Below are 25,962 nucleotides of genomic sequence, written 5' to 3' on the forward strand. Positions count from 1 at the left end.
TTCTGTTATGAATGCAGGTAGCTCTAGTCCTTCAAAATCTCTATCACACATTTTCAGCATGTCATCTATACGTTTAAACTACAGTCCAATTTCTCCAACAGCTTAACTTTCTGTGTTATAAATGTTTCTACTTTTCCTTATCATTGCTGCTTATAGGGATATCTACAGGCCTTGTTGACATTTTCAGTATCTTAACACCACAGAGCAGAGAATAAGCAAAAATACACCACGGGTAATGCACATAGGTCCCATCTGTGGGGATCCTGCCATTGGCGTGTCCTGCTTGCACATGAGCCATTCTATTACCCTTTGTGGACGTGCTTGCATGGGGAAATCTGAGCATGTGTAGAAAAGTTATACTGCAGCTGAAGCAGGATGAGAGGGTCTTTTTTCCCTAGAGAATGCCAAATAAACTGTGTGTTGTAGACCTGCATTTTGACTGTGACATCAAAATACACATGTAGTGTCATGTCAGTGCTCAAAAAGTTTCACAGTTTGGAGCATTTCAAATTTCAGATTTTCAGATTAGGGATGCTCAACCCCTAAATTTAAGTTAAGACAATATGTTGCCTGGTTGCCATGACACTAAAAAACATGACTTCTGCAACTGTAAACTTTTGGTTTGAGAAAATAGTATTGGCTAAGAAGTTTCTCCAGTTCAGCTTTGAAGACCTAGCTATAAAAATGTAAAGCAAAGGGACAAACATCATTTGGCATCATTCCCTGAAAAATAAATAGCTCCATCAAAATAAAAGATACATGATCCAAAACAAAGCTGCTGGTCCCCAGAGGTGGATGACAACACCCAGTGCTTCCACCAATGCAGTAGCATTAAAGCTACGCCTCACTGACAGATAAAATGATGGTGGTGCTTTATTAGTCAGCATGCCCCAAAGGGACAGCAAAGGGACTGCCACTGCATGCAGAGTAAGAAGGTTTGATTAGGCTACTCCCCAATTCTGACACTCTCCACCATCACTGGCAAACTATGAGGACAAAAAGGTCCTTGATGTATTCCTCTTTGTATATTGTACATTTCTGGCTGACACTAGAGAAAGAAGAGGTTTAAAACAGGTGGAAGTCCTAGATAAGTTTAAAACATGTTTTTGAATTTCAAAAAGTAAACCTATTATTTATTGCATGACCCGTAAATACACTTCACACTCCATCCAGCTCACTCCATAATTTGTGAAACTTTTGTCTATAAGCCCTCACTGAACTGTCCAAAAATGGGCTTTGTCTGCAGCGACTATAAAGCCACTACCTGGTCACCCCTCTCTGCTGTATGAGGAATGATCCTATAACTAGCAGTTGGGGTCTGGAAACAATCTTCTGCTGACTGTTCTGGGCTAAACTGCCTGAAGCATAAGTGACCATCAAGCATTCGGTGATATTAGCAAGCAACAGCTTCCCAAATCTACCTTGCCCATCTCTTTGGCCTAATCTTTGCAAGTAATTTATTTTAAAAAGAGAAGGGTCCTTTGAGTAATGGATGTATCATGTCCTACTCTCTTAAACCAAACTCCAATGCTGCATCTTAGATAGGAGCCCTCTAATCTTGCTTCCTGAAGTGATGCTGTCATTTGACTTGGCTGCAGGCCCCTGATACTCCCCTGCAGGGAGAGGGCCTGCTCTTTGCCCCAGCCTTTACCCCATTCCTCCTTTCTTTCATTCAGTCTCCCTCCACTCCCAGCACACCTCTGGCTGTATTTTATTGTGGTGGTAAACTTTATTTTTATCAAAAAGGTGGTGGGGGGATTTTTGAGCTTATGTTGCAGAATACTTTATATAAGCCTAAAATATACATTTTGCTAATTAGACAGATTTCTAGCTTCCCCAAGTACACAATCTTAGATGCTTGGTAGAAGCAATGGAACGAACTTCTCTACTTTTACAAATATAACATTTGACGAATTTAGAATAGAAATTAATTATTTTCAAAATATTTAACTTCTTATAACTTTTTAACAAAAGAAACAACACTGTTCAAGTAAAACAGGGCACTTCCTATTTCATTTAAGGGAAAGCCAAGCTGATAATGCCATAATACCACCTAGCATTCTCTTGTATATGACACTGACTTGACTTAGAAAGAAAAAAAATTTTCTTACTTTCTCCTTCTATTTTCCACTAGCAGGAAATTCCATTCTTGCCTTTCCTTTTCACCATTTCATCTCCAATCACCTAGAAAAATGATGTCTAGTGCATGGCAGGCTCTTAATAAGGAATAAAGAAATGTGTGAATGAAATTTCATGAATATTTTAACTTTTTAAATGAGACTATTATTAAGAGTGTTCCTATGAGCAGGCAACAATGACAAAAGCTATTGTTTGAGATAAAAATGTCCAAAACTTGGTTAGAATATAAATCTCTATCAATGCATGACAGGTATGTATCAAGAAGTCTCAAAAAATACCATGAAATATCACAACCAAATGCATGAAACTTGAATGACATCTGGCTCAAAACAAACAAAAACCAGCTATAAAGATAATCCTGGTAGCAATTTGAGAGGACAAGGTGGGCAGATTGACTGAGCTTAGGAGTTCCAGACCACCCTGGGCAACATGGTGAAAATCCGTCTTTACTAAAATACAAAAAATTAGCTGGGCATGGTGGCAAGTGCCTGTACTCCCAGCTACTCAGGAGGCTGAGGCAGGAGAATTGCTTGAACCTGGGAGGCAGAGGTTGCAGTGAGCCGAGATTGCACCACTGTACTCCAGCCTGGATGAGTGAGACACTGTCAAAAAAAAAAAAAAAAAGATAATCTCCGGACACTTAGGGAAATTTAAGTATAAACTGAATATGAGGTGGTATTATGGATTCTTAGGTTTAATAAGGGTATTGATGTTATGTAGAAGAATGTCCTTATTCTTAGGAGATAAATGCTTATATATTTAGGAGTAAGTGTCATAATATCTGCACCATAGTCTCAAATGATTCAGCAAAAAAGATGTGTGTGCATGTAGGGGGGTGGGGTAGAAAGAAAAATCAAGCAAATATGACAAAACATTAATGAGTATTCAATCTGGGTGCTTCTGTTATTTTCTGTATGTTAGAATTTTTTTCAAAATGAAAATCTGGGGAGAGGCCGGGCGCGGTGGCTCACGCCTGTAATCCCAGCACTTTGGGAGGCCGAGGCGGGTGGATCATGAGGTCAGGAGATCGAGACCATCCTGGCTAACACGGTGAAACCCCCGTCTCTACTAAAAATACAAAAAAGTTAGCCGGGCGAGGTGGCAGGCACCTGTAGTCCCAGCTAGTCAGGAGGGTGAGGCAGGAGAATGGCGTGAACCCTGGGGGGCGGAGCATGCGGTGAGCCGAGATCGCGCCACTGCACTCCAGCCTGGGTGACAGCGAGACTCCGTCTCAAAAAAAAAAAAAAAAAGTCTGGGGAGAAAGAGAAAAAATCCTAAGAGTTGGAGGCTGGCACGATGGCTGAATAGGAAGAGCTCTGGTCTGCAGCTCCCAGCGAGGTTGACGCAGAAGGTGGGTGATTTTTGCATTTCCAACTGAGATACCTGGTTCATCTCATTGGGACTGGTTGGACAATGGGTGCAGCCCATGGAGGGAGAGCTGAAGCAGGGTGGAGTGTTGCCTCACCTGGGAAGGGCAAGGGGTTAGGGAATTTTCTCCTCTACCCAAGAGAAGCCGTAAGGGACTGAGCCTGAGGAACTCTGGCACAGACACTGCAGTTGTCCCATGGTCTTCGCAACCTGCAAACCGGGAGGTTTCCTCCTGTTCCTACCCCACAAGCGCCCTGGGTTTCAAGCTGGTCAGCCATTTGGGCAGACACCAAATTAGCTGCAGGAGTTCTTTTTTTCCATACCCCAGTGGCGCCTGGAATGCCAGTGAGACAGAAACGTTCACTCCCCTGGAAAGGGGTGCTGAAGCCAGGAAGCCAAGTGGTCTGGCTTGGCAGGTCCCACTCCCATGGACCCCAGCAAACTAGCTTGAAATTCTTGCTACCAGCACAGCAGCAGTCTGAGATCCACCCAGGAACTTCCAGGTTGATGCAGGGAGGGACATCTGCCATTGCTGAGCCTTGAGTAGGCGGTTTTACCCTCAGAGTGTAAACAAAGCTGCTGAGAAGTTCAAACTGGGCAGAGCCCACAGCAGCTCAGCAAGGCTGCTGTGCCCAGACTGCCAGATTTCTCCTCCAGTCAAGGCATCTCTGAAAAAAAGGCAGCAGCCCCAGTCAGGGACTTATAGTTAAAACTGCCGTCTCCCTGGGACAGAGCACCTGGGGAAAGGGGTGGCTGTGGGTGAAGCTTCAGCAGATTTAAACATCCCTGTCTGACAGCTCTGATGAGAGCAGTGGACCTCACAACACAGCAGTTGATCTCTGCTAGGGGTCAGATTGCTTCTGCAAGTTGGTCCCTGACCCGTGTGTATCCTGACTGAAAGACACCTCCCAGTAGGGGTTGACAGACATCTCATACAGGAGACCTCTGCTGGCATCTGGCAGGTGCCCCTCTGGGATAAAGCTTCCAGAGAAAAGATCAGGCAGCAATCTTTGCTGTTCTGCAGCCTCCACTGGTAATACCCAGGCAAACAGGGTCAGGATTGGACCTCCAGCAAACTCCAGCAGACCAGCAGCAGAGGGGCCTGTCAGAAGGAAAACTAACAAACAGAAAGGAATAGCACATGCACTCAAAGACCCCATCCGAAGGTCACCAACATCAAAGACCAAAGGTACATAAATCTACAAAGATGGGGAGAAACAAGCACAATAAAAGCTGAAAATTCCAGAAACCAGAATGCCTCTTCTCCAACGAAGAATCACAACTCCTCGCCAGCAAGGAAATAAAACCGGACAGATAATGAGTTTGACAAATTGACAGAAGGAGGCTTCAGAAGATGGGTAATAACAAACTCCTCTGAGCTAAAGGAGCATGTTCTAACTCAATGCAAGGAAGCTAAGAACCTTGAAAAAAGGTTAGACAAATTACTAACTACAACAACCAGTGTAGAGCAGAACATAAATGACCTGATGGAGCTGAAAAACAGCACAAGAACTTCGTGAAGCATACACAAGTACCAATAGCCAAATCGATCAAGTAGAAGTAAGGATATCCGTGATTGAAGATCAAGTTAATGAAATAAAGACAGAAGACAAGATTAGAGAAAAAAGAACAAAAGGGAACAAACAAAGCCTTCAAGAAATATGGGACTATGGGAAAGACCAAATCTACGTTTGATTGGTATACCTGAAAGTGAAGAGAAGAATGGAACCAAGTTGGAAAACACTCTTCAGGAGATTATCCAGGAGAACTTCCCAACCAAGCAAGACAGGCCAACATTCAAATTCAGGAAATAGACAGAATACCACAAAGATACTCCTCAAGAAGAGCAACCTCAAGACACATAATTGTCAGATTCACCAAGGTTGAAATGAAGGAAAAAAATGTTAAGGGCAGCCAGAGAGAAAGGTCGGGTTACCCATAAAAGGAATCCCATTAGACTAACAGTGGATCTCTCTGCAGAAACCCTACAAGCCAGAAGAGACTGGGGGCCAATATTAAGAGACAAGAAGTGCATTATATAATGGTGATGGGATCAACGCAGTAAGAAGAGCTAACAATCCTAAATATATATGCATCCAATACAGGAGCACCCAGATTCATAAAGCAAGTTCTTAAAAGACCTACAAAGAGACTTAGACTCCCACACAATAATAGTGGGAGACTTTAACACCCCACTGTCAATATTCTACAGATCTATAAGACAGAAACTTAACAAGATTATTCAGGACTTGAACTCAGCACTGGACCAGGCAGACCTAATAGACATCTATAGAACTCTCCACCCCAAATCAAAAGAATATACATTCTTTTCAGCACCTCATCACATTTATTCTAATATTGACCACATAATTGAAAGTAAAATATTCCTCAGCAAATGTAAAAGAATGGAAATCATAACAAAAAGTCTCTCAGACCACAGTGCAATCAAATTAGAAATCAGGGTTAAGAAACTCACTCAAAACCACACAACTACTGGAAACTGAACAACCTGCTACTGAATGACTACTGGGTGAATAATGTAATGAAGGCAGCAGTAAGATGTTCTTTGAAACCAATGAGAACAAAGACACAATGTACCAGAATCTCTGGGACACATTTAAAGCCGGGTGTAGAGGGAAAATTATAGCACTAAATGCCCACAAGAGAAAGCAGGAAAGATCTAAAATTGACACCCTAACATCAAAATTACAAGAAATAGAGAAACAACAGCAAACAAATTCAAAATCTAGCAGAAGACAAGAAATAACTAAGATCAGAGCAGAACTGAAGGAGACAGAGTCATGAAAAAATCCTTCAACAAAATCAGTGAATCCAGGAGGTGGTTTTATAAAAAGATCAACAAAATAGATATACCACTAGCCAGACTAATAAAGAAGAAAAGAGAGAAGAATCAAATAGATGCAATAAAAAATGATAAAGGGGATATAACCACTGATCCCACAGAAATACAAACTATCATCAGAAAATACTATCATCAGAATACACCTCCACACAAACTAAAATCTAGAAGAAATAGATAAATTCCTGGACACATACACCCTCCCAAGACAATATACCAGAAAGAAGTCGAATCCCTTAATAGACCACTAACAAGTGCTGAAATTGAGGCAGTAATTAACAGCCTACAAAACAAAAAAAGTTCAGCACCAGACAGATTCACAGCTGAATTTTACCTGAGGTACAAAGAGGAGCTGGTACCATTACTTCTGAAGCTATTCCAAACAATAGAAAAAGAGGGAATCCTCCCAAACTCATTCTATGAGGCCACCATCATCCTGATACCAAAACCTGGCAGAGATAAAACAAACAAACAAAAAATTTCAGGCCAATATCCCTGATGAACATCAATGCAAAAATCCTCAACAAAATACTGGCAAACTGAAGCCAGCAGCACAGCAAAAAGCTTATCCACCAAGATCAAGTCAGCTTCATCCCTGGGATGCAAGGCTGATTTAACATATGCAAATCAATAAACATAATTCATCACATAAACAGAACCAATGACAAAAACCACATGATTATCTCAATAGATGCAGAAAAGGCCTTCGACAAAATTCAACACCCTTCATGCTAAAAACTCTCAATAAACTAGGTATCAATGGAACATATCTCAAAATAATAAGAGCTATTTATGACAAACCCACAGCCAATATCATACTGAATGGACAAAAACTAGAAGCATTTCCTTTGAAAACTGGTACAAGACACCACTCCTATTCAACATGCCTTCTGTCACCACTCCCATTCAACATACTATTGGAAGTTCTGGCCAGGGCAATCAGGCAAGAGAAAGAAATAAAGGGTATTCAAATAGAAAGAGAGGAAGTCGAATTGTCTCTGTTTGCAGGTGACATGATTATCTATTTAGAAAACCCCATCCTCTCAGCCCAAAATCTCCTTAAGCTGATAAGCAAATTCAGCAAAGTCTCAGGATACAAAATCAATGTGCAAAAATTACAAGCATTCCTATACACCAATAACAGACAAACAGAGACACAAATCATGAGTGAGCTCCCATTCATAAGTGCTACAAAGAGATTGAAATACCTAGGAATACAACTTACATGGGATGTAAAGGACCTCTTCAAGGAGAACTACAAACCACTGCTCAAGGAAATAAGAGAGGACACAAACAAAGGGAAAAATATTCCATGCTTATGATTAGGAACAATCAATATCATGAAAATGGCCATACTGCCCAAAGTAATTTAGAGATTTAATGCCATCCCCATCAAGCTACCAATGACTTTCTTCACAGAATTGGAAAAAAACTACTTTAAACTGCATATGGAACCAAAAAAGTGCCTGCATAGCCAAGACAATCCTGGGTAAGAAGAACAAAGCTGGAGGCATCACACTACCTGACTTCAAAGTATACTACAAGGCTATAGTAACCAAAACAGCATGGTACTGGTACCAAAACAGATATATAGACCAATGGAACAGAACAGAGTCCTCAGAAACAAAACCACACATCTACAACAATCTGATTTTTGACAAACCTGACAAAAACAAGCAATGGGGAAAAGATTCCCTATTTAATAAATGTTGTTCAGAGAACTGGCTAACCATATGCAGAAAACTGAAACTGGACCCCTTCCTTATACCCTATACAAAAATCAACTCAAGATGGATCAAAGACTTAAACTTAAGACCTAGGACCATAAAAATCCTGGAAGAAAACCTGGGCAATACCATTCAGGACATAGGCATCGGCAAAGACTTCATGTCTAAAACACCAAAAGCTATGGCAACAAAAGCCAAAATTGACAAATGCGATCTAACTTAACTAAAGAGCTTCTGCACTGCAAAAGAAACTATCATCAGAGTGAACAGCCAACCTACAGAATGGGAGAAAATTTTTGCAATCTATCCATCTGACAAAGGGCTAATATCCAGAATCTACAAAAAACTTAAACAAATTTACAAGAAAAAAACAAACAACACCATCAAAAAGTGGGCGAAGGATATGAACAGACACTTCTCAAAAGAAGACATTTATGCAGCCAACAGACATATGGAAAAATGCTCATCATTAGTGGTCATTAGAGAAATGCCAATCAAAACCACGATGAGATACAATCTCATGCCAGTTAGAATGGTGATTATTAAAAAGTCAGGAAACAACAGATGCTAGAGAGGATGTGGAGAAATAGGGGTGCTTTCACACTGTTAGTGGGAATGTAAATTAGTTCTACCATTGTGGAAGACACTGTGGTGATTCCTCAAGGATCTAAAACTAGAAATACCATTTCACCCAGCAATCCCATTACTGGGTATATACCCAAAGGATTATAAATCATGCTGCTATAAAGACACATGCACACTTATGTTTACTGCAGCACTATTCACAATATCAAAGACTTGGAACCAACCTAAATGTCCATCAATAATAGATTGGATAAAGAAAATGTGGCACATATACACCATGGAACACTATGCAGCCATAAAAAAGGATGAGTTCATGTCCTTTGCAGGGACATGGATGAAGCTGGAAATCATCATTCTTAGCAAACTATTACAAGAACAGAAAACCAAACACTGCATGTTCTCACTCATAAGTGGGAGTTGAACAATGAGAATGCATGGACATAGGGAGGGGAACATCATCCACCGGGGCCTGTCAGGGGGTGGTGGGCTAGGGGAGGGATAACATTAGGAGAAATACCTGACGTAGATGACGGGTTGATGAGTGCAGGAAGCCACCATGGCACGTGTATACCTATGTAACAAAACTGCACGTTCTGCACATGCACCCAAGAACTTACATTATAATAAAAATAAAAAAAATTAAGAGTCAAAGAAACTGAACTGTAATCCCCATTTTTATCACTTTTTTGTGATCAAGTCATTTCACTCACCATTTCATTCATGAGTTCCCTATCTACATACTTGAGCAAATGAGATAGTGAACATAGTGTGCTTTGCAAAGTAAAACGCATGATACAGAATATATAATATCATCATTATCAACAAGATCTTAAGTTTAATCACATCTAGACATCTGGTGTCTCTTTCCTCACCTTCTTATGGTTGTAGATTTCACCACTGTAACAGAGCCACAAATATGGATATTTCTTCACTTGAATTGGCTGCATTCCAAACAGCGGTTCTGGTGAAATCCAAAGCAGCTATTGGTGTATCCACTGACATTCTCAAAACAGAATGCATCTGGACCCCTGTGTGCAATCTACATAGCACTCAGACACTGAACAGAAAGGCGGTCATCACTGCCAAACAGGGCCAAATGCCACACGTGGTGGAATGAAGCTATAAGCTCTCTATGGAGAGAAAAGCAGACAAATAAAAAATATTCAATATCCAATCCAAGTCTGCATTCAATCTTGATTCCAGAAACGTGCTTAAACCACTTCAAAGACTAAAATTTAAACCATCTTTTCTGTAGCGATCTCCCATCAGGTTGGTAGACACACGGGAGTAGAGAATAATTTAATTTACTTAACTAGTATTCAGAAAAGATAGTGACCTCTACATTCAACCAGCTATAGCAGCTTAGCACCCAGCCAAAGCCTGCATCTCTCCCACCTTAGGATTCAGTGGTTGGCTAGAGCTGGCAGCATCCAGGCCACATCTGTCTCTGCATTCTAAGTCTGCTTCCAAGATACAGATACAAATGCAGGCTGGCTCCAACCTAGCCAGAGATCCCAGCCCCACTCTCTCCATCCCCAAATCCCTCAAAGATCCAAGAGACTTTCCAGATTACTAGAGTCTCCTCTCAGATTCTCTTGACAGTTAAATGCCCTCTCTTTACTGAACTAGCTGCAGGTAGAATATAATGGGTACAACAGAAAATCATACTGCTGTAAATGCAATACTAAGATACACAGGTCTTTTAAGTATTTCACTATATTACATCTAGCTTACCTCTAAGTGATTTATTCAGGTGTGATTGAAGAAAGTCTAAAGGGAAAATAAAGCAATTTAATTTGATATCAGATATCCTGGCTATAACAAATAAAACATTCTAAGTTGACAGAAGATACAAAATGTTTGCTATCAAAATATTCTGACTGACAAAAATGTTCTCAAATATTTCTGTCTGAAAGTTGCATTGTTTAGGAAGGAAGCCAAGTAGGTGGGACATATACAGCAACAACATTTCTAAAAAAAAAAAAAAAACAACTGGGCTCCTTCCTATAAACCTGGAAGCAAATAAATCATCCTTACATACATCAATTAACTTCCAATTTCAAACTCTCAACTGTGAAATAAAGGGCTGTTTTATTTGGCTGCTGCCAGCTCAAAATGACTGCTTTTACTAAAACATCTCTAACTTGAAAAATAACTATTTTTTTTTAACTGCAAATTGCAGCAAATAGCCAGATAATTTGGGATAAACACCCTAAGGAAAAAATATATATTCAAGCTGCATAAGTCAGTTTGAGCAATCCTTTGAAGATATTTCATTTATATCTAAATAAAACAAAGGTTTAGCTGGCTTTTCTGGAAAACCAGAACCAAATAATATATGATTATAATGAAAATCATCTCAAGTAATTTGGAAATGAACTACCACATGTCCTAATGCTGTCCCTTCCATGCACTTGACCAAATAGCCTATAATAGCCTATAACAAATTACTTACTTTGAGATTTAGTGGGAAAATTCTATGAGATTTAAATGAGATGACTACTAATAAGCCATCTGTCTTTGACTCTGTACCAATTAAAAATGGGTTAGGAAATTGCTTTGAAAATCAAGTGTGGTCATCAGGGAATCATTTACCTAAGTCTTCTTAATGCTGCTTAGTGAATATTTAGCGTGCTATAGTAAATACAAGCTAACCACTAAATTGGAGGGGAAGGAGGGAGAACAAAGAGGCATGTAAAATATACTTATTTTTTCTAGTAGGAAAAAGCCAATTAAAACTGTCACCTATTTTTATTGTAATCAGTCTTAAAGGTTGGCAAACTTCCTACTGCCGCTACCTGTTTTCAATATTTTTCTTATTTCTTCCTAAACTTCTGGAGCAGGGCTGTCCAATAAATATGTGAGTCACGTATGTAATTTTAAATATACTAGTAGCCCCATTAAAAAAAAGGTGAAATTAATTTTAAGTATACTTAACTCAATATGTCCCAAATAGTATCACTTTAACATGTAATCAATATAAAAAATTATCAAGCAGATATTTTGCACTGTTCTTCTTACTCCAATGACAAAATCCAATGTATTTAACACAACACATCTCAATTAGGACTAGCCACCATTTCAAGTGCTCAACAGTTACAGGTGGCTAGCGCCTACCGAATTGGACTTCGCACTTACAGTGCATTTAATTTCTATTCCACTTAGCGCTACTTAAAACTTCACCCTCTCACCTTACTTTTTTTATGTTAAGATCTCAGTAAGTAACGAACTACAGACAGGTTCAAGCCCTACTTTACCTCTAATTACTCTTACAGCAATGCAATGAATCGTGATTTAAAATTAAAAAAAAAAAAACTGCTGTTAAATTATTAGTCAAGCGCCCAGGGCAACGGACAGTAAAGAAATAATGTAGGCCATGGGCCGAGACGAAAACTATCCTTTTATTTAAAGCTATAACAATAATCTACAGCCAGTCCTGTAAAATAGACATCCATTGAAAAAGCCATGCTAATTCTTTTGCTTTTTCTGTACTTGGCTTCCTGTGTCCCTAAACAGACCTCTTCTCTCAGGGTTTGCTCAGCACGTCACTTGTTGAGTCTTGCAGTCTACAGAGAGGGGTGGGTACCGGGGTGGCAGAGGAGTGAGAGGAAAGGAGGCATGGTGAGGGAGTCCAGGTGAGGAGGGAGGCAGTTTAAGGGGAAAGCACAGACACCGAGGTGGTGATAAAGCCGGAGTCTCTGCTTCCTAGATCAGGACCACAGACACCTGACTGTGCCCTAGCCATGTGCACGCTCCCACCTGTCCGAAACAGAGGCTCTGGACTGGGAAAATGTCCACAGGCTTCGATGCCACATAGTAAAAAAAGTACATATATAACATTTACAGGGGCTCAGGCCGCCGCTGCCTTCTCTCTGGAGTAGCTCTGCCTCCCGGCCATGGTTCCCTTCATGCCTCAGTGTACCAGGACAGAGAGGTCCTTCCGCACCCTCTTGCTGCCAGGTGCGCAACAATAGCTGGGCGTCCGCCCCGCCCTCTCTACCGCAGGAGCCACAGCGTCCGCCCTCGCCCCCAAGCCGCGTCTGCCGGGTGCCAAGCTGAAGAGCGCATCCTCGCCTCCTTCCTCCCGGGGCAGCCCCAGAGCACGCGAGGAGGGTGCTGCGCGGGACGCGGGGGTCGGCTCACCAGGGCGCAAACAGGTCAGGGCGATGTGGGCAGTGGAGGCCAGGGCTGTGGACAGCATGCCGGCGGCGGGGCTGCTGGCGCTTATACCGGCTGGGCTGCTGTAATGCGTGCGGGAAGTTTCATCATGCCTGCGAGGATCAACCAGCGCGTGCAGAGGCGGGGCTCGCGGGGCGGCTGGGGCGGGGCGGGACTAAGAGGGGCGGCGGGAGGCAGCAAGAAGGCATTCTTTTGTTTCCATCGCCTTCTGTTTCTCAGTGCGCGTGTTAAAGGACAGCCTCAGAGATCTGCCCAGGTTACCCGCTGTTCTGACAATTAGGGAGTCTTCTGCACTTGGTTTGTTCTTAGGGAAATCGTCACCGTTTTTTGTTGCACTACCGTCTGATTTATTATGGAGTGCAGAGAAAAGCTTGTCCTCAGAAACTGATGCGTAAGGCCTAAAATGTCCTTATAAAATATATTAATAAATCGGAGTCAGGAGTGGTGGCTCACGCCCATAATCCCAACATTTTGCGAGGCCAAGGCAAGAGGATCACTTGAAACCAGGAGTTCAAGACCAGCCTGGGAAACACAGCGAGATCACACATCTACAAAAAAATGGTGGCACACCCTTTAGTCCCAGCAACTCAGAAGGCTGAGGCAGAAGGATAACTTGAGCCCAAGAGTTTGAGGCTGCGGTGAGCTCCACTCCAGCGAGGGTGACAAAGTGAGACTCCCATCTCTAAAACAATAAAAGAAAATCTAAATCTAATTGATTCATGAAGCCAAAACACATCAGTGGTCCTTAAACATTTTAAGTACAAAGATTCCTTTTACAATCTCAAAAAGGATTTTGTCAACCTACATCCACAGATGATTATGTGCTTTTAAGTATCTCTTTGATGAACAAAAGACATCACAATTTTTAAAAAGTATCATAACACTCTTAAATCATATTTTACTAATTACATCAGCACCAAAATAAATTGAGAAATAGTAAAATTATATGTGCACGACCTACTAAGATCAGACTACAGTCAATGCTTGGAGAGAATGCAGGTTTGATATCCCCATACAATGCATTCCCCACTAAATAAAAAATGCCAACGATATAAAATCCCTAAGCACAGAAGATGGAGTAGATTTTGGTAGTTATAGGCAAGAGTAAAGATAAGAGATGACTTGTTCTAAGGTTCATTCTTGCTGGAAAGTTTTCAGCATCAAACAGATTTTGCTGTATCCTAATTGATGTATTTTAAACCTGAGAGCAATGTGGGAAAGTAGGTCTTCTATCTACATTTAAAGATGAGAAAACAAGACTCAGATAAGTTGAGGGATTTATCCAAACACAGTTTCAGAACAATAAAGAATTGTGTCATAATCTGTGTAAACCCATTTCCAAGGTGTCCATTTCCCGTAGCACCTTGCCTATGTAGTGGAAGATGGGTTCTCCTACTTCATGTGTTATCTGGTGTGGTTGGTTGTGCTGCTTATCTCCTGCTTGTCCCTCCAGAGCTCTACTGTTCTCCACCTCACTTTCTGTCCTGGCTCCCTTGCCCTCCTCTTTCAGGGAGAGTGTGTGAAAGAAGACATTTCAAGGAGATGCAAAAGGTGGGATGGAGTAGTCTCAGGACATTTAGCCGCCTGGCTCCCTGACGTCAAAGCTCATCTCAAGAAGACCACAGTTCCTGTTACCTGACCCTTCCCACACCTCCTTTTCTTCAGATTTTAGGAACTGCTTCCTATTCAGCTACTCTATCACAATGCTACTTGCTTTCTCGCTCTAGGATCTGTTAAAACAAAATTGAGGCTGGGTGCAGTGTTTCACGCCTATAATTCCAGCACTTTGGGAGCCCAAGGCAAGAGGGTGGCCTGAGGCCAGGAGTTCAAGACCAGCCTGAGCAACATAGTGAGACCCACCCCCATCCCTGGTCTCACACACATACATACGTGCACAAATTAAATTTAATTTAAAAATTAGAAATTTGTTTTAAAAGTGAAATATTTACATGGATTACGTATGTATTCATTTTGGAGAACTATAGATCCCATAGAACTGGGAACGCTTTACTCTTTGAACAAAACATTTATTTAGCCACAAATAAACGAAGACCAGTGATTTAGCCTGCACACACACACACACACACACACACACACACACAAAAGAAAACACTGGTTAGGCTGGGGCAGGGGTTGGAGGAAGAGATCTAAAACATTAAAATGTTATTGGGAAAGACCACTAATTAGAATCAGAATAATTACTGCTTTAAAGTATTTAAGAATAGAGCACAATGAACCCAGAGAAGAACTAGATACGATTCAGAGTAGAGCTCACAGAGCAGAAGGTATCTGAGCTGAGACTGATAGAATAACACTAATAAGGACATTTGCTGTCATTTATTATCTCTTAACTGCAGTGCGTTTTGTATATGTTATTTCCACTCTTCACATCAACCGTGGAAAATAATAATTATTCTTCTCTTGTGAAGTTAAGGAAGTGGTAAGTGGTCTAAGAAGATAAATTAACATACCAATACCAAACAACTCAAGTTCCGTGACTCAGGACTGCCCGTGTCTTCCCAAGAGGTTCCGTAGCATGCAAAACAGGTAGAGAGAGCCCTTCCAAGAAGTGACAGTGAGATGTGAAAGGTCTCAGTGTGTCTCTGAGAACAACAGAAACCAGTAAGTAGACCAGGCGGAAAAAGCCAAGGAATGGGCAAGGATTTCTTCTTAAGAGAGCAAGAAGAATAAACAGAGCAGGACTGAGAGAAGCCATGGGAAATGGGCAGAACACCATGCATTTAGCGAGAAAAAATAACTTTTACTTTAGAACAGAAAAGAGGGAAAGAATGGTAGTGGTCTCGGTAAACCTAGAAAAGGAAAGGGCAGCGGGGAAAAAATAAACGAGGTGTATTAGTCAGGGTTCTCCAGAGGGACAGAACCAATAGGATACACGTATATGTAAAAGGGAGTTTACTAGAGAGAATTGGCTCACACGATTACAAGGCAAAGTCTCACAATAGGTTGTCTGCCAGCTGGGGAAAGAGACAAGCTAGTAGTGGCTCAGTCCAAGTCCAGAAGCCTCAAAACCAGGGAAGTCCACAGTGCAGTCTTCAGTCTGAGGCTGAGGGCCTGAGAGTCCTGGGTAAGCTGCTGGTGCAAGTCCCAGAGTCCAAAGGCAGAAGAACCTGGAGTCTGATGTCTAAGGGCAGAAGGAACAGAAGCAAGCATCCTGCATGGGAAGGAGGAAAAAGGACAGCCAGAAGCCTCAGCTAGCAAAGTTATCCCAGCTTCCTCCACTTGCTTTGTTCTAGCTGCTCTGACATGTGATTGACTGGTGCCCACCCACCTTGAGGGTGGGTCTTCCTTCCCAGTCCACCAACACAAAAGTCAATCTCCTCTGGCAACACCCTCACGAACACACTCAGGAACAATACTCTAGGCAGTTCTCAGTCCAATCAAGTTGACACCTAATATTTACCATCATACAAGATTTATAAGCTAAGTATGTCGATGATGATAAATAAGTGCTGTGGAGAAAAACAGCTGAGAAGAGAAAAGAAATGCGAAGGAGAGTTTACAAGTTTTAGAATAATTCATACTTATAGGCCACTGTTTTTCATAAAAAACAAGAGGCTCATCTTCTGCAGGTACTGAAGGGTTTGAGATGTTGTGAGGGTGAACTTGAAAATAACAGGCAAATATCAGAGTTAATGAGGGGAAAAGGAAAAGATGGGTGGGCATCATGGTGGTCCAGCAAAGGAGGAAAACCCAAGCATGAATGTGGACTGGCGACGTCGGGGAGGGCAGAGCCTCCAACAACACAGGGCAGTCTGAGAGCCAGTGTCAAGACATGGAGGGAATGGATCCAGGTTCTGTGTTTGGAAGAGTGTGTGTGGAAGAAGGATAAGAGGGCTCAGGAGCACAGGTGCAGTGAGTGTGCTTCTGCAGGGATACACTTTTGGTATGTTCTATTATTGCTCAAAAATATGCAATGCACCTCTCTGGGGGAGGATTATACTATATCTAACCCATTGATATCAGCATAGCCAGGTGACTTGCTATTGCCAATGAAACATGAGCAGAAGTGACAGGTGTCACTTGTAAGCAGAAATTATAAGAACCATGATGTAGCTCAACACCATCTCTTTTTCCTCTGCCAGCATTCCAGGTAGGAGCAACTCCACCAACCAAGGGCCCAGAATGAGAATTATGTTGAGAAGGGTCACAGCCTACCCATGATCAATATGTAGCTGAAGTAAGCAAACAAACTTTTCTGGGTGTATGTGTCTGAGACTTGGGAGTCATTTGTAACCGCAGCATAACCCAATCTAAACTGGCTAATAGAGCTTAAATATTTTAAGTTGGAAGGGAAATAAGTAAAGCCAGAAGTGACCTAATTTGTTGAAAGTGTAACAGGGGCTGATGATTAGAGGCTTGGTTGCAGGCTAGAGAAGTATAGGGCTGAAAAAGACAGATGAACTGGACATTTTCATGGGCAAGGAATGTATAATTTTATAGCATTAGATAAAATGGTGAATGTAAGATTATCGAGCCCAGGTTCCTGAATATAATGTGTGTTAAATAAACAAAAGCCTTCCTCTAACAGAATTCCCCTAAGCATTTCCAGGTTATGGCCTGTCCAGCCACAGATATGCCCAGTCCAGTCATAGATACTGTTTATAGCTTCTGAACTAGGAATCAGGAGCCCTGGAGTAACAGGCCCCAACAAAATCAGAGTCGAATTGTGAGCCCAAAAGCTTAACAAATATCCACCTTCCTTGTCTTCCAACTGTATCTCTTACTTCCCTCTCCCTAGTTCATTGCATCCCAGTCATATTGATCTCTTGGCTGTTCTTGAACACAACAAGCAGAGGTGAACATGGTTTTTAGCTGCTGAAAGTTACACTTGTGGCTAGAGACCAGACTAACCCTTTTTCCTTCTTTTGGAGGTTATGATTAGGATTGTCAGAGGGCAAAGGGTTTAATTTTTTCATTAAACTAACAACATGTTTTGAGCATGTATTATGTTCTGGGGCATGGAGCTTATTGCATTCATGGTGCAGGGGAACAGGAGAAATTAATGAGACACATAAATTACATGTATAAATGAAGACAAGTGCTATGGAGAAAAATAAAGGAGAAAATATTATAATGGGGCCCGGATATTGCATTACGTAATATCCTATATAGTCTGCTATAGTCTGAATAGTCTGCTATTATTTGGTTTTCTCATTGAATAAAATGTTGTGAACATCTCTCTGGGATGAAACAAAAACATTCTGCATTGCTGTAGTGAAAGATCCTCAGAAGGGAATCATCTAGTCATTCCTGAGGCTTGTTAGATATGACCAACCCATCCACTGCATCTCAGTCATAACTACTCTAAACAACACCCACCAAAGGGGAAAAGGGCTTGCTGGAATCCAGCCATCAGTACATCCTTGAAGCAGCTGAAGACTCATTTCACTTTTACCCTAATTTGGCCATCGTGACAGCACCCAGCCCAATATTCCAAAGCTAGGTTCTTAACACCATAATGGGGACCAGTGCTTCCTAGCAGGTACTGAAGGGTTTCAAAGACTGCAGATACAAATTATACTCACTGCTATATCTGCAGTGCAGAAAGCTGAGAGCAAAAGTGATGAGATATCAAGGCTGCCTCTATGTTCTGAATGCTTCCTTTAAAAAACTGGCACCTAATGTAGGCTATATGCAGACTGTCCAGATCAATTGTGGCAGACCTCAAAATAACAATCATAGATACTGTTTGTTGAGAGCATTTTGGGTCACCTTTTCAAAGTGATTTATTTTTGTCTACTGCTAAGTAACCGTCTTAGAAGCTGAACTCACAGGGTATGGCACGGTCAGTCTCAACCTCAGGAAATCCTTCAGACCAGGCATGTCTAAGCCATCAGGCCCCAGCATAGACAGAAAAACACATCTCCCCACAGCATTTGGCTGTGATCCAGAATATCTGGTGACAGAACAAAGGTGAGAAGACTGAGAGGAATTTATCAGAGCAAGCAAATAACAGTCTGAAATTTGGGCTTCTCTGTGAGGCTACCTCTGTCCATTTATATCTCTGAACATAGTATGTAGAGGAGTTGATATAGTAGTTGAATGGTGGCCCCCCAGAAATATATACACATGCCCCAGAACCTGTGACTGTGACTTTATTTGGAAAAAAGCATTTTTGCAGATGTAATTAAGTGAAGGACTTCAGGATGAGATCATCCTGGATTATTCAGTTGGACCTTAAATCCAAGGACAAGTGTTCTTAAAGAGACACACAGAAGGGAAACGGAGAAGGCCATGTGAAGGTAGAGATTGGAGTCATGCAGTCACAAGCCAAGGAACATCTGGAGCCACCAGAAGATGGAAAAGGCAAGGAAAGTATCTTCCCTAGATGCTTCTTAGGAAATGTGGTTCTGCTGACACCCTGAAGAGAGACTTCTGGTCCCTAGAACTTCAAGAAAATAAACTTATGTTGTTTTAAGCCACTCGGTTTGTGGTAATTCATTACAGTAGTCCTAGGAAACTAATACACTTGATGACTCTTTAGCTTGACCTTTGATGCCTACCACCAAGACAAGAAGCAGCCCAGGTAGCAGCACCACTGCCAATTCTAAATGCCTCTCCAATTGTCATGGCCTCCGTTTCAGATGCACTGCCTGCCATATTTAAATTAAGGGATCTCTTGCACCTCCATCCACCCAACAACCACCCAGGTTGAAGCAAACTACATAATCATTAAAGAGATTCCCCATCTTCATGGACTATTCAGCCAGTCAGCCTCCAACCTTCCATTCCAATGGATGCCCACACTTTGCAAGAAGCCATTCAAAACTGCCCATGCAATTACCAGATGCCCTTCTGGTACACCCCTCCAGACACCTTGGTTCTTTTACCTGCTCAGACTACATAGAAATGGCTACAGTGAATCAGTAAATTGCTGTTTTCCTCTTACAGAATAGCCATTTCTCTGAAAGGTATCATTTCCTCCTCTACCCTTTTTCAGGTCTCTGCTGCTCTTGACACCTTTCAAAGCCAAGCACAATGCCTGGCACATAGGAAGCACCCAATAAATGCTTGCCAAGTGAATAACTAGAGGCCAGGCAGCTTAGGAACACCCAGGAGGGTAACCTAGAACCCACAAAAACATCAGAGAATGCTCTAAACACTTTCCCACAGGCACTGCTACCACTGGCTTCCTAATACATTTCACCACTCTTCTTAGCTTGACCCTATTTTTGATGCCTGTCACCTAGTGATGGTGGAAACCTATTCTGGGCTCCCCACAGTGGACACATTGAGCTTGCTTCAGGCAAACTCTTCCTGCCAAAGGAAGAGGAGTTTACCAGGTGAACAAGCAAAACTTCAAGCACAACCTCTACTTTTTGGCTAGCATTCTGCCCCTGCCTCTTTTCTGTTTTGGCCTCCCTGGTTCCATGCATTGGGTTCAGACACCTGGAAGTCTTGTCTCTTAGTGTTTGAATCAGCTTCTCTACTTAATGTTAGGCTCACAAGTTCTCATGCTGTGTTTTGGGAGTGTGATAGTAAGAAATATGTACTTGGTCTTTGTCTTTGGTTTCTCACACAGAGCTTTAAAATAATAATAATAATAATTTTTAAGAGACATGGTCTCACCAGTGGCATGATCATAGTTCACTGCAGCCTTAAACTCCTGGGCCCAAGTGATCCTCCTGCCTCAGTATCCTGAGTAGCTAAAATGACAGGTGCTTGCCACCATGCTGACTCCTGACAGAGTTCTAAAACCCTTGGAATTCCCTGAGTGACAGGGGTAATAGGAGCATCTTTTGTTACTCATAGTAAGCACCTTTCAACCATATCTGAGTTTATGCTAACAACGTAACTCTTGGAGCATAAGGAGTCCTTTTTCTAGAAACCAATGAAATGATTAGAGAGTTGGAACTTTCTGCTCCACCCCTCAACATCCTGGGAGGAGAGTGGGGCTGGAGATTGAGTTAATCAGCAATGGCCAATTGTTTAATCAATCATGCCTATGTAATGAAACCTTCATAAAACACCTAAATTATGGGTCCCAGAATACCTCTGGATTGGTAAACACAGCCAGGGACTGAGAGTGTGGTGCACCTAGAGAGGGCATGGAAGCTCCATGTACCCCTATACCTTACACTATGCATCTTTTCCATTTGGCTGTTTCTGAGTCATATCCTTTAAAACAAATTGGTAATATTAGGTAAAGTGACTTTCTGTGTTCTGTGAGCTATTCTAGCAAATTATCAAACATGAAGAGGGAGTCCTGTGAACCCGAGTTTGCAACCAATCAGTCAGAAGTATGGGAGGCCTGGGACTTGGGATTCGTTTCTGAAATGAGGGCAGTCTTGTGGGACTGAGCCGTTAACCTTTGGGGTTCATGCTTACTCTAGGTAAATGGTTAGAATGGAACTGAATGCTTGGACACCCAACTGGAGTCCAGAGAGTTGAGGGAGTGAGGATCTGGGCTATGGCATCATACAGATCAAATATGGAAACCTCAGCTACATTACTTTTAAACTATATGACCTTGAGCAAGTCCCCTCAGATTCTGTTTCTTCACTTGCCAAGCGGAAAAAAGATAAGAACTAGGCAGGCTTGTTGGGAGATTTAGGAATAATGTGAAGATTTGCAAACTGGCAGGATAGTTGGAACACAATAAAATTTCAAAATGTATCAGCTTTTGTTATCATTGGACTATATTCATATTTGGCCTCCAAATTCATAGCATTTAATCCAGAAAGGAGTTCTTGCTGAACCCTAGGCAGCCTTGCTCACTCTTTCAGACCTGAAGAGGTGAACAGAACACTCCCAATATTCCGAGAGATTTCTACAATTCTATCTCACTGAACTGGGGATGGAAATAACAAAAACCATTAGAAAATAATAGTTTGAAAAAATTAACTTTCTTAGTGTTTAATTTTATCTCTTGCAAATGTAACTTTCTAGTTTTACACAATATAAGCAGATGTAACTGAAAATTTCTTACGAGAATACCTCAGTCACACAATGTTGTGATGCATTACATATCACTGAATTGTACACTTTAAAATGGTGAATTTTACCTCAATTTAAAAAATTGTTTAAATGCGGTTGATACAAGAGTTAGGAAGAAATTACTTAGGCACATAGTGAGAGTACGGAAGTCCTTGGTAACATTTTCCTTTTAATGAAAGGCAACCCCAAATTATTTTCCTTTCTAACAAAGAGCAGCCTGTAAAATCAAGCTGCAGATGATGCTGCCAGTTTATACCAATCATGTTCAAGATGGTGGCTCCATCTTCCCTTCTCTTTGTCAGCCAGGTGTACAGTAAGGAGCAGACAAGATGGTGCCACCAATGGGAAAGTTCATTTGCATAATAAGATTAGGGTGGGGCAGCCAGCTCCCCCATGTCATACCTGTTTGAGCCAATCTGTGAGCCCTGTGTAAATTAAACACCGCCTCCTCAAGCCTGTCTATAAAATCCAGCATATCTGCCACAGGCAAATCTTTTCCTCAGAAGTCCCCAATCTCTCACTAGAGAGAGAGCTATTTTCCTTTCTCTTTATTTCTTTTTCTTTTGCCTATTAAACCTCCACTCCTAAACTCCTCATGTGTGTCCATGTACTAAATTTTCTTGGCGTGAGATAAAGAACCCCGGGTATTTACCTCACACAATGTAGCTGCTGCACAGTGACTGATGTTGCCTCCAGAAATAGAATGTTGTCCTGGGATTCATTTTAAGAAGTTTCTTGAGATTCTGATTCTCTAGGTCAAGGTAGAGCATGGTCATCCCGGCCTTGTAAAAACTCCCTTAGAGATTCACATGAGCCAGAGTTGAGAACCAATGACTCATGATTTAAAATATCACAAAATTGGGCAAAGGATATGAATAGAGTAGAAACTGCATACACAGACACACAAAGACATGTTATCTGGCTAAGATGGTTGGATTCTGGGGGCATTCTTTTCTCTATCATTTCTATTATTTGAGTTATGATAAAGTTTGTGTTTTCTTGTTGTTGTTGTTGTTGTTTTGGGTTTTTCTTTTTTTTTTTTTTTTTGAGACAAGGTCTCACTCTCATTTCCCAGGCTGCAGTGCAGTGGTGTGATCCTGGCTCACAGCAGCCTCAACCTCCTTGGCTCAGGTAATTCTCTCACCTCAGCCTCCGGAATAGCTGAGACTACAGCCACACACCACCATGCCTGGCTTTTTTTTTTTTTCTAATTTTTATAGAGATGGGGTTTTACCATGTGGCCTAGGCTGGGCTTATGAATCCAGGGCAGATTACTCATGGGCTCAAGCAATCCACTCACCTGAGCCTCCCAAAGTGCTGGGATTATAGGTGTGAGCCACCATGCCCAGTCTACGATAAGGTTTGACCAATGCATTTAACTATGTAAATTACACTTTTCTGTAAACCATGGTCACTATAGCACCACCTGGATTCTCCTCATCCAGGAGACAATGAGACAAGCTGGGGCAACATAGCAAGACCCCATCTCTACGTTGAACGTCTTCCATTCAAAAGGGTCCCAACACCAAAAGCAATTTCAACAAAAGCAAGATTTGATAAATGGGACCTAGTTAAACTAAGGAGCTTCTGCACAGCAAAAGAAACTATCAACAGAGTAAACAGAGAACCGACAGAATGGGAGAAAATATCTGCAAACTATGCATCCAACAAAGGTCTAATATCCAGAATTTATGATGAGCTCAAACAAATCAATAGGCAAATAACATGAATACTTTTCAACAGAAGACATTCAAGTGGATAATGAGCATATGAAAAAATGTTCAACATTACTAATCATTAGAGAAATGCAAATCAAACTACAATAAGATACAATCTCACACCCATCACAATGGTTATTATTATTATTATTTTATTATCATTATTTTTAGACAGAGTCTCTGTCACCCAGGCCGGAGTGCAGTGGTGCTATCTCGGCTCACTGCAACCTCCACCTCCCAGGTTCAAGCAATTCTCATCCCTCAGCCTCCTAAGTTGCTGGGACTACAGGTGTGTTCCACCATACCTGGCTAATTTTTGTATTTTTAGTAGAGATGGGGTTTTGCCACATTGGCAGGCTGGTCTCCAACTACTGACCTCAAGTGATCTGCCCACCTTGACCTCCCAAAGTGCTGAGATAACAGGCATGAGCCGCCATGCCCAGCAGCAACGGCTATTACTAAAAAGCCAAAAAACTACAGATGCTTGTGCAGCTACACAGAAAAGGGAATGCTTATACATTGTTGGTGGGAAGTTAAATTAGTTCAGCCACTGTGGAAAGCAGTTTGGTGATTTCTCAAAGAACTTAAATCAGAATTACCATTTGACCCAGCAATCTCCTTATTGGGTATATACCCAAAGGAATATAGATCATTCTACCATAAAAACATATGCACACCTATGTTCATTGCAGCACTATTCACAATAGCAAAAGCATGGAATCAACCTGAATGTCCATCAATGATGGGCTGTATAAAGCTAATGTGGTACATATATACCATGGAATACTATGCAACCATAAAAATAATGAAGTATGTTCTTTGTAGCAACATGGATCAACATGGATGCAGCTGGAGGCCATTATCCTAAGCAAACTAACACAGACGGGGACAGAAAACCAATTACCCCATGTTCTCACTTATAAGTGGAAGTTAAACACTGAGTACATATGAATACAAAGAGAGTAAAAACAGACACCGGGAACTACTTGAGGGTGGAGGGTGAGAGGAGGGTGAAAATTGAAAAACTACCTATCAGTTACTATGCTCATTACCTGGGTGATGAAATAATTTGTACACCAACCACCCCTCCATTGCAACACATAATTTACCTATTTAACAAACGTGCATGTGTACCCCTCAACCTAAAATAAAGGTTTAAAAAATAAAATAAAGTTGGATTCCTAGGTATTTTATTCTCTTTGAAGCAATTGTGAATAGGAGTTCACTCATGATTTGGCTCTCTGTTTGTCTGTTATTGGTGTATAAGAATGCTTGTGATTTTTGTACATTGATTTTATATCCTGAGACTTTGCTGAAGTTGCTTATCAGCTTAAGGAGATTTTGGGCTGAGACAATGGGGTTTTCTAGATATACAATCATGTCATCTGCAAACAGGGACAATTTGACTTCCTCTTTTCCTAATCGAATACCCTTTATTTCTTTCTCCTGCCTAATTGCCCTGGCCAGAACTTCCAACACTATGTTGAATAGGAGTTGTGAGAGAGGGCATCCCTGTCTTCTGCCAGTTTTCAAAGGGAATGCTTCCAGTTTTTGCTCATTCAGTATGATATTGGCTGTGGGTTTGTCATAGATAGCTCTTATTATTTTGAGATACGTCCCATCAATACCTAATTTATTGAGAGTTTTTAGCATGAAAGGTTGTTGAATTTTGTCAAAGGCCTTTTCTGCATCTATTGAGATAATCATGTGGTTTTTGTCTTTGGTTCTGTTCATATGCTGGATCATATTTATTGATTTGCATATATTCAACCAGCCTTGCATCCCAGGGATGAAGCCCACTTGATCATGGTGGATAAGCTTTTTGATGTGCTGCTGGATTCGGTTTGCCAGTATTTTATTAAGGATTTTTGCATCAATGCTCATCAAAGATATTGGTCTAAAATTCTCTTTTTTGGTTGTGTCTCTGCCCGGCTTTGGTATCAGGATGATGCTGGCCTCATAAAATGAGTTAGGGAGGATTCCCTCTTTTTCTATTGATTGGAATAGTTTCAGAAGGAATGGTACCAGCTCCTCCTTGTACCTCTGGTAGAATTCGGCTGTGAATCCATCTGGTCCTGGACTCTTTTTGGTTGGTAAGCTATTGATTATTGCCACAATTTCAGATCCTGTTATTGGTCTATTCAGAGAGTCAACTTCTTCCTGGTTTAGTCTTGGGAGGGTGTATGTGTTGAGGAATTTATCCATTTCTTCTAGATTTTGTAGTTTATTTGCGTAGAGGTGTTTGTGGTATTCTCTGATGGTAGTTTGTATTTCTGTGGGATCGGTGGTGATATCCCCTTTATCATTTTTTATTGCATCTATTTGATTCTTCTCTCTTTTCTTCTTTATGAGTCTTGCTAGTGGTCTATCAATTTTGTTGATCCTTTCAAAAAACCAGCTCCTGGATTCATTAATTTTTTGAAGGGTT

At 41.3% G+C, this 25,962-nt stretch overlaps 1 long non-coding RNA gene and 1 pseudogene across 2 annotated transcripts in view, besides 1 other annotated feature; both read right to left on the minus strand.

The window, feature by feature from the left end:
• The window catches only part of ASNSP1 (ASNS pseudogene 1), a 38,393-nt pseudogene extending 25,513 nt beyond the window's left edge, over positions 1 to 12,880 (minus strand). Inside the window, exons 1-3 of the transcript NR_146077.2 lie at positions 12,823 to 12,880; positions 10,414 to 10,449; positions 9,552 to 9,809 (exon numbers count right to left, since the gene is read on the minus strand). The product of NR_146077.2 is annotated as an ASNS pseudogene 1 (transcript). The remainder of the gene's footprint in view (positions 1 to 9,551; positions 9,810 to 10,413; positions 10,450 to 12,822) is intronic.
• On the minus strand, positions 12,060 to 12,709 carry LOC124901941 (uncharacterized). Its single transcript, XR_007060902.1, has 2 exons — positions 12,439 to 12,709; positions 12,060 to 12,245 (listed from the first exon to the last, which is right to left on the minus strand). It is a non-coding gene; the product is annotated as an uncharacterized LOC124901941 (long non-coding RNA).
• Positions 12,742 to 13,242: an enhancer, noted in NCBI's record as "H3K27ac hESC enhancer chr8:47529089-47529589 (GRCh37/hg19 assembly coordinates)". NCBI's record gives its function as "activates a minimal SCP1, AML or CMV promoter by ChIP-STARR-seq in primed H9 embryonic stem cells {active_cell/tissue: H9 hESC(primed)}" and the evidence as "EXISTENCE:reporter gene assay evidence [ECO:0000049][PMID:30033119]".

Source organism: Homo sapiens, chromosome 8 (genome assembly GCF_000001405.40).
Source record: "Homo sapiens chromosome 8, GRCh38.p14 Primary Assembly".
Classification (NCBI taxonomy): Eukaryota; Metazoa; Chordata; class Mammalia; order Primates; family Hominidae; genus Homo; species Homo sapiens.